This window comes from Homo sapiens, chromosome 10 (assembly GCF_000001405.40).
Source record: "Homo sapiens chromosome 10, GRCh38.p14 Primary Assembly".
Classification (NCBI taxonomy): Eukaryota; Metazoa; Chordata; class Mammalia; order Primates; family Hominidae; genus Homo; species Homo sapiens.
Genome location: NC_000010.11, coordinates 50,665,690 through 50,675,075, shown reverse-complemented (window position 1 = coordinate 50,675,075; position 9,386 = coordinate 50,665,690). Strand labels below are relative to the sequence as shown.

The 9,386-nt window shown below is 47.3% G+C and overlaps 1 long non-coding RNA gene across 1 annotated transcript; it reads left to right on the top strand.

Annotated features, from left to right (window-relative positions):
* The first annotated feature begins 108 nt into the window (after positions 1–108).
* LOC105378302 (uncharacterized) lies at positions 109–8,095 on the top strand. The gene is made up of 3 exons (XR_945957.3): positions 109–234; positions 493–592; positions 7,978–8,095. It is a non-coding gene; the product is annotated as an uncharacterized LOC105378302 (long non-coding RNA).
* Positions 8,096–9,386: the final 1,291 nt, after the last annotated feature.

Here is a 9,386-nt window from a genome sequence, read left to right as displayed (position 1 = left end):
CCCCGTGCGCTGCCACACGAGCCTTGAGGCGGGTGAGGTTCCAGCGCGAGGCCGGCCGCCCTCAACCGCTCCCAGCGTGAGGCCGGCCGCCCTCAACCGCTCCCAGTGCCGGTTGCGGCGGTTTATGGCAGGGAGATGCGCAGCACGAGAGCAAAGGGCGGTTACCCAACGGCCTTCGCTCTCATGGCGTCCTCCTTGATGTTACCTAAAAATAAAACCAAGGGTGATTAGAAGGTAATCACCTCCTGGTCATGCTCCCACTGGTCACCGGTGTCCGCGGGGCGACCCCACATTGTGACCAGAGCAGGCCTGTGGCTGCGCTCAAAGGCGGGATCGTTCATAGCTTTCCTAGCGGGGGCCCTGCGGGACACCCAGGCTGCGCTCCTTTCCCTTGCTCACCTGGACCTGAAGTGATGGGGGAGGTGTAACAATGCAGTGGGAATGCCAAAGTGTGTCTCAGCCGTGCCTTTCACATTCCAAACAATTCAAAAGCTTGAAGAAAACCTCAGCAGTTGAAACCGTGATGCAGTTCAGCAAAGAAGTAGCTCCTGTCCTGGTAAAACAGTGAAGTTCTCATGGACGACCTCATTGAGTGAGTTGTGAAGCTTGTTGACTTGATCAGAATAATCAGCCAGCATGCTTGTTCTAATACGCTGATTTGTCACTGATATGAGCAGCTGCAAAGTGGAAGAACAGGCCTTTAGTCATAGTCTGTTCACTTGGTAGCACAAGTTGGTTGTGGATGCAAGAGTGTGGCCAAAGTCAAGAAAAGCTCCCATGAGAATCGCTTACTTATGTGGAATTTACAAATAAAAAGTAGTGGTATATTATTTGTAAATTGTAGGCTACACATGTATCTAAAATTTACTGCACATACGTGTGTATCTTGGGTGGTTGGGTTAGTGTGTACTTGAGAATGTCAGGAAGATTTATTTTGGATTTTGGAGGGTGTGAGATTTGTGGGGGTGGTTTTGTGTATGTGAAAATGTGTTTATATGAATTCTTAGTTTGGAATTTGATATGTATTTAATTGGTGAGAATCTAATATGTATTCACGTGTGTGGGTTGGTTGTGTCTGTGTGGAGATTGCAGATTAAAGAAGGTCATAACTGGGCCGGGCAGTATTGTGGAACTGTATGTGTATTTGGGGATATGAGGTGGCATGTTTGCATATTTGTGGCGTGTTAGTTAATCGCGGGTATATTTAGGGCATGTAGAGAACTACATGAGTATTGAGTTTGTGTGTGCGTTCAAGGGCGTGGCAGTTTAGATGTAGGTTTTGTGGAGCTATGTGCTTGTGTTTTGCAGTAAGTGGTTATTAGGGTTATATATTCTGGGAATTTAGTATGTGTGTGTCTGATAGAGAGATGGGGTTCTCTTTTTATACAGGAGAGTGGGAGAGTTGAATTTATATGTATCAGAGGTATGTGATATGGTTATTGGTTAGTACTTGGCAATGTGGGAGCTGGTTCATACTAGATTGGGATAATTTGGGATTGGGAAGTGTTTTTATGGGTATTTATAAATGATATGCTGGAGATATTTCTGTGCATCTTGGGTGTGTATACTGGTTTGTGTGTATATTTATCAGCAGATAGATGAATTATCTAAGTCGGTTTATAGAATACGGGATTGTTAGTATTTAAAGTGTATTTCTTTGGAGAATGCTAGGATGTTCGTACACGTGTTTGGGCATGTTTAGGGGATGAGGTGAGGAGGTTGTATTCCGGAGATGTAGCATATTGATTGGATAGTGTTTCGGGGGATTTATACACTCAGGGATTGGGGATATTTTTGTGAGTTTGTATGTGCCCATGGGTATATGAAAGTTATGTGCGTATATTAGAGCATTATTGGTGTTTTTGTGTTTTTTTTTTTTTTGTATTGGTCTTACCTGGGAGGGTGAGGTGTGTATTCATGGGTAGTTTGTGAGTGTGTATAAGAGGGGTTTTGGGTATATTAAGACTTAGTGGTCCTCTGTGTCTGTTGTGAAATGTAATACTCGCAGAATTTGGTGTTGCCACTTGTATCTGTGTTCTCAGAGTTTGTGAGGTGGACTTATATGTATTTGATAAAAATAGTTTGTGGTTCTGTGTGTATTTGAGTTTATGTGGCTTCTGTGTTTTGTATTCTGGGAGATGTGGGAGGTTCAGTGCATGTATTTGGAAACAGAGAGGCTGTGTAGGTTGTGTTTGGATTCAAGAATCATGGATTCCTATATTTTAGAGCTGTGGGATTGTATGTGATTCTTTTTCTGGGTGATGCATGACACAAGTGTTGTATACCTTGTGATTTTTTTTTGAGCCTATGCCTATAGGATTTTCATTATGTACTGTTAACAAATCTACTGAAAAGGGTTTTCTTAAAAAAACAACAAAAGAAAAAAATAGAAATTTGATTCCACTGAGCTGTTTGCAAATCAAGGAGTCCCAGCATTCAGTGCAAAACAAAGGTACACTCTGAAAGAACAAAGAGAGGTATTATCTTTTACAGAGAAATTCGTTCTCAGATTCCCAATCTGGTTCACTCTGCAAATGAGGGATACAAGCTTGTTTATTTCTGATTGGCTGATGCAAGTCACAGTCTATTTCTTAAGTCCATATGATGAAATGGTACCCCTTGATTCAGGTGACATAAACAGGAACAGACAGCTGTGAAAGTCCCAAAGTGACACAAGTATGTGGTTTTTGCAGGAAGCAGGGTAAATGTGTGAGACTTGCAGTCAGCAAATGGCTGCTTGGCTCCATTTTGAGTTTAGGCCCAGTTAGCCACTTATGATCAGCCCTTTCAGGGTTCACAGTATATATGGGTATATATGGGTACTGTGTTCATTGAACATGTTTGTATTTGGGCACGTATATATATACATATATGGTTTTAGCAGTGAGGTGAGCATTTGGGGTGGGTAGAGTTTTGTCTGCAAATTTAAGTAATAATTGGGCAGGCCATCTGTGTATTTAGGGTACAGGTAGCAGTTGTGTTGCTGGTGGGCTGGTTCAGGTTCTTGACTTTGCTGCACAAAAGAAGTCTTACTTTGAGAGTGAGTCCAATGTAAAAGTAAGCAAGAGAGGTTACTGCAAAGTGAATGTACACTCTGACAGCCGATCAGAGTGGGCTGCTGAAAGGTGAGACAGCATTGACTGACACTGGGGAAACCTCCTTTATGGGAGCCTTACATGACTATTCATGAAGGGGTGGGAAGGGGTGTCACTGTTAAGCACTCTCTGGGCTGTTCTCTGGACATGCATGCGCTATTGCTGCACATGCTAGTGCCTATATCAGGTGAATCATTAACATCTTAAATCTCTACCCAAGGGTGTGTTTTTCACTGTTATAGTGAGCACTGGTCAACCCAGGGACACTAATCATGGGTTTTTGCACTTGTGTGAATTTGGGGATTTTCCCTTCTTCTTTTCCACCTCCTTACTGCAGGACCTCCTTGTGCACTGTCGGATGGTTTGTTCTCTTCATCTGTTTAGCAAGTTTGTTCTCCTTTAATGGAGGCTATGACCACCCTATCCTATCTCAGTTGTGTGTGTCTGTTTAGGATATATGAGGAGGTTGTCTTCTGGAGGTACCTGGTTTGGTTTTGTTTTTATATTTGGGGTGAGAGTTGAGGGTCCTACTCAGGGTGCAGGTAGATTGTGTACACGTATTCCTATGAAAGGATGTGGCTGTGCTGGAGCTGGCTTGTACTAGCTTGGGGTAGCCACTGGGCAAGGCACATCTCTTCTCATCTCTGTGTTCAGTGGCGTTAGGTTGGTAGTTTAAAATTAGTCATGCTGAGATATTTACACCACATAAGCATCACAATTCTAGGCTTTCCTATGTCCCCCTGGAGAGCATTTTATTAAGCAGTTAGTAACACACCCCGGGGCGGGTGTGTGTGTGTGTTTGTGTGTTCAGGATCTGTAAGCAAATGTTTGTATGAAGCAAGAATATTGAGGCTTTAATGGTTGTGTATTCTGGGGATTCTATGTGTATTGTAGTGATGCAGAATGACCAGGGAGCATGGTTGAGAATGACCCTCCCTGGTCATTCTGCATCACTGTGTTACTCCTAAATAGTTGGTTCATTCTTAGGGCCAAAGAATCCATATAAATGGTAGTTTCTTGCTCTTCCTCCCACAGATGGATGCAGGGGTACCTGCACCTTAGGCAGGTGTTTGCTCCTTCAGTATCTGTGTTCCTAGCATCTGGGTCCTCAGATGGGTGGGCCTGGTAGACGGAACACTGTGCAGAGCAGAACTTTTCTAGATATTGTCCGTGTGATCAGCACAGTCAGAAAGATGTGGGGTTTCCAGGACAGGAGGTCAGATGTGCCATGTCTTCTCTCAGTCCTGATGTCCCTGCTGATTCCTCTGGGGCATGGCGAGTGACAAGGACACCCTCTAACATACGTTCCATGAGATGAAAGCCTGCAGAACCTGTGCCTGCACTACCATCTGCCCCCTGGGTGGGGATACTGTTGGGTGTCAGGCTGAGAGCTGGGCCACCAGTTCTCAACCAACCTGTCCCCATGGAAACCTGAGGCTTCGGGGCTAAGGCAGGACCTCCAGCAGGTACCCAGTGTTGAGAATACGTGTTGGCTTCTGTGTTAGGAGTTTTATCTCAGTGGAGTCTTGGTAAAAAGAGGGAATCAAAGGCACGTGACATTTTCTTCTTTCTCTGGTGAAGTGAGGAATGAATGTTGACCATTTCTTTCTGAAGTTCCGTACAGAAAATGTATACTCAGCCTGAGGAGCCAAGGTGATTCCTTAGCTGCTCTTGGAGAAGGTGTCATCTGCTCTTCACAAGGAATCTTCAGGCACAAGGGCCTGAATCTGACTTCTCGTGGAAAGCATTGGGCAGAGCTTCACAGTCCCGCCTAGAGCTGGGCTGTAATTCAAGGGACAAAGTGGAGGAGCAACAAGGAAGTTGTGGGGAGCAACCTTTAGAACCTGGGCCTGGGGAGGGCAGGCCAAGGAAGCCTGAGTTTACACGGGCTCAGGTCCTGGGGCAGAAGCCAGACACAGAGCCTGGGCAGCCAGATTCGCTCCGGCCTGGGTTGTGGGTGGGGATGAGCCTCCTCTTGTGCTCCTGTCGGGGGCACTCCTGAGCTGCAGGCAAAGGTCTTAGTTGCACCTTGGCAGGGATGTACAGCCAGGCCTGGTGCTAAGGAGTGAGGAGGGTAGAGTCAAGGAGAGGAGGCACCGATCTGTGTCCCTTCAGCAATCTGGAGCATGATGTTAGATCCTGTTAGGGCGACCTCCCACTCGCATCTCCTGGATCTTCTGTCACTGGGAGGCTCAGGACCCCAAGAGAGAATGGATTCAGTTTCCCCTGATGTGTTCATCTGGTTCTGGGACCCCATTCTCTCAGCACGTTGGGTGCTGGCCCTGCGGGTATGGGAGAAGCCTGGCAGGGGTGGGGGTCAGTGAAGTGACACGGGCAGAGCTGGGCAGGCTCTGTCCTGAGGAGTGCTGGGAGCTGGGTTCTGGAGAGACAGGGAAGCCCCCCTGAGAAAATGTGGCTCTGATGTTTCTGAGAACCCTGTCAACGGGTTCTTTCCAAAGGCTCAGGATGCCCCTGGAGTGGCAAGCGCATCTCAGCTTCATGTTTCTTTTTTTTTCTTTTCTTTTCTTTTTTTTTTTTGAGACAGAGTCTCCCTCTGTTGCCCAGGCTGGAGTGCAGTGGCACGATCTCGGCTCACTGCAAACTCCGCCTCCCGGGTTCTAAGCCATTCTCCTGCGTCAGCCTCCGGAGTAGCTGGGATTACAGGCATGCACCACCAAGCCCAGCTAATTTTGTATTTTTAGTAAAGACGGGGTTTTGCCATGTTGGCCAGGCTGGTCTCGAACTCCTAACCTCAGGTGATCCACCTGCCTCGGCCTCCCAAAGTGCTGGGATTACAGGTGTGAGCCATTACGCCTGGCCAGCTTCATATTTCTGATTGGGTCACCCAACCTTCCATTAGTTTCTCTATTGCACATGGGGCCACAAGCCCAGCAGAGGGAGCCACGTGATGCAGGTGTCCACCTGCTGACCCCACAGCCACCACCTCCTCCCTCAGACTCACCCGAGGATTTGTGGGCCTTGCTCCTTACCGGGAGTCGCCTTCTGGCCTTATCTTCCTCGTGGTGAATCCTCCCGCCAATAAAATGTGCCAACATCACTTCCTTTAATGTTCTAATAGCCACTTCCCTGTGGTACAAATGGATTCCTGGTGGTTCTTGCTGCCCCCTCATGTCCTGCCCTAACATAATGAGGGTATGTTGCACTAGTTGTATTGTGTTTCATTGGCAGAATGGAGCTCTGTCTGCTTTTATAATATATGTCTTAAAAAAATGCACTGTAATGTATACCAGGTAGATCTTCTTGGATTTCTTTGTTTTGAAATGGGTAGTCATGGATCCTGAGTTTTAGGGGAGAAGTACATGTGTCTCTTGGTCTTGAATCAGCACAGAAAATCTCCCATGCAGGTTGCATGAATGGCAATTGCTAGAATTGCTGAGGTTGGCCTAAGCCATTTGTTCTGGGCTCAATATTTTTGAGGAGTGTATGTCATGAAATGTATCCTGCACCACCCCCTTCTCTCTATGAACAGAAGATATCCTCAACTGTGTGCTGAGTGGCCCCTCTGTCCAGCCCCTTAGAAGCCTCTGACTGTTCTGTTTCCCAGGAGCTGATAGGAAAAAGGATATGTTCCCATCTCAGTCCTCACTGGGCCCTGGTGCCCTATAGTGACACAGCAGTGGGTCTGAGAACACTCAGAAGGAAACAGTGAGGCCACTGAGGAACTGCCCCTTCAAAGGAGGCTGTTCTGATGCCCACTGCAGGAGTCTAGGGTCAAAGGAAGGAGGCTTAGTGGGCAAGACCAGGAAAGGCAGAATGGGCTGACCAGGGAAGGCAGAATGGGCCAGCCAGGCAGACACTAGGAACAGAGCAGGGAGAGCTGGGGGTCGGGAATGGAGTGGGAGGCAGGCTTTGACTGCACAAAGAGGTGGAGGGGGCATGTCAGCGCATATGAAGCCCCGCTACACACAAGAGTCCCCAGCCTCTCCTTCCTTGCCCAGACCCATTTCCTGGGGCTGTAAGTAGGGAACACTGGGGGAATGTCAGCTTGGGGCTCAGTGGTCTAGGTCCTTCTTGCAGATCAAGACTTTATTCAACCATCCTTTGAGTAATAAGTATGTCCATGGTGTCTGCAGGTTAGAATTGGGATATTTAAGGAGACCAGGGCCTTCTCTTGGGAGTCACCCAAGGTTCCTAATGCGAGGTGGAGGCAAATGTAACTGGAGGTATCCCAGGAGGGACAAGCCCAGGCCCAGCTTGGGAAGCAGGTGGTAGGAGATGGGGTGTTCTACCAGCAAGGACACAGCTGCTGTGCTGACAGTGGGCACTGGAAAGGGCTGTGGTTGGGTGATCCTCCCCCATGAGGACCCCTTATTGTAGGGGGAGCTTCATTGCCAGAAGATGTAACTGGAATGTTACTTCCTGTATGACATGTCTTCTCTGCACTCAGCACTCCCCTAGTGGCAGGGAAGTTTCTCAAGGGGCAGCCATGGTCAGGTCAAGGGTACAGGCTCTGGAGCCAGACTGCTGGCTCAAATCCCAGAAGCCCCAGTGTATACCTGACCTTTGTGACCTTGGGCAAGTATTTTAACCTCTCTGAGCCTCAGCTTACTTATCTGTAAAATGAGGATAATAGTGCTAACTCCACGGGGTTATAAAGATTGGCATTCATACATGTAAATTGCTTGGAGCAGTGAAGGCTGTACTGTAGGTGCATATGGCATAACTGTTAGCTAATGTGATTACTAGTCCATATGGAACATAACTGCCCATTTCCCTAGTATAGGCCCCCTCCCATCCACACTCAGAGCCCCTTCTTCTGATGGCCCCAGGGGAGCATGGGCTCCCTGCTCTTGCCCCTAAATCCCCAACTTCAACCTCTGTCTCGTAGCAAAATTAATGCTGGAAACCTCTGCTCCTACAGGATTTAAACCTCAGACACAGGGAGCTGACCTATTCACCTTAGAATCCTCTGGGGCACCCATTACAGTGTCTGTACCAAGGAGGCAACAAAGAACGGCAGAACAGACTGGAGCAGAAGGACAACCCAGCAGAGCCAAGCCAAATCACTGACCCTCAGAGGCCTGATGTGAATGCTTCTGGCTTCAGTCCATTGGATTCTGCAGTAATCTGCCGATCTACAGTATTACCACAGTAAATAACCGATAGACCTGAAAACGAATGCATGCCTCGTGCCAAAATTGCAGGAAACCTCACCAGCAGAAACAATTTTATATGAGGGAATGTACTCTCTCCTTTGCATTTTTCCTCAAATCTATATTTTTAGCCCCTCACTTGTCTCTACAGAGCCTCAGTTGCTTAATCTAATTGCTGACTGAACATCTCCAGGAAACTGTGTGTACGTGTTTGTATTCATAGTATATTTATTTATTATCTGTTTACTTCCATGGGATATAGTCTCCGTAAGAGAGTAGTCATCATTGTATTTGTTGATGCTTAATAAATAATCATTGAATGGGCCGGCTGTGGTGGCTCATGCCTGTAATCCCAGCACTTTGGGAGGCCGAGGTGGGCGGGTCACAAGGTCAGCAGATTGAGACAATCCTGGCTAACATGGTGAAACCCTATCTCTACTAAAAATACAAAAAATTAGCTGGGCGTGGTGGTGGGTGCCTGTAGTCCCAGCTACTCTGGAGGCTGAGGCAGGGGAATGGCGTGAACCCAGGAGGCGGAGCTTGCAGTGAGCCGAGATTGCGCCACTGTGCTCCAGACTGGGTGACAGAGCGAGACTCTGTCTCAAAAAAAATAAAAAAATAAAATAATCATTGAATGAAGGAATCAAAGAATGTGGTCCCAGGTTGGGTGCCCTTAGTTCAGTCCCTGAGAATTTATGAGTATAATGTTTTGCTTTTTAAAAAGTGAAAAAAGGGAGCATAGTTGCATTGGAGAAGTTAAACTATGACTCGGGCCCCCAAACAGTCTCACCTGACCCCATTTGCTGCTGTGGGACTAAAGTGTCTCAATAGAACTGTCCTTAGTCAGCCGCTTTATACCTGCTTGGATTAGCCACTGCATATGAAGCTTCCCCAGAAAGAGGAGAGAACTCAGCACGGGTGCTCTCCATAGCTGAAGCAACCCTGGGAGGGCCTGAGAGCCAAGTCTATCTTCCAACAGTATTCCCAGCAAATGGTGAAACAAGTCATTCATCAAGGAGGGATCTAGGTGGCTGATGCCTGCATCGACCACAGTCTGCCTCTGTTCAGCTTGAATCCATTTCTTCATTTGTAGTCTGAGGGTGGAAGACAAATGCATGTGTCTGTGTGTTCAGGATTGTAGGAGGTGGAGGTCTGTATGTTTAGGGTAGTGTGTCTT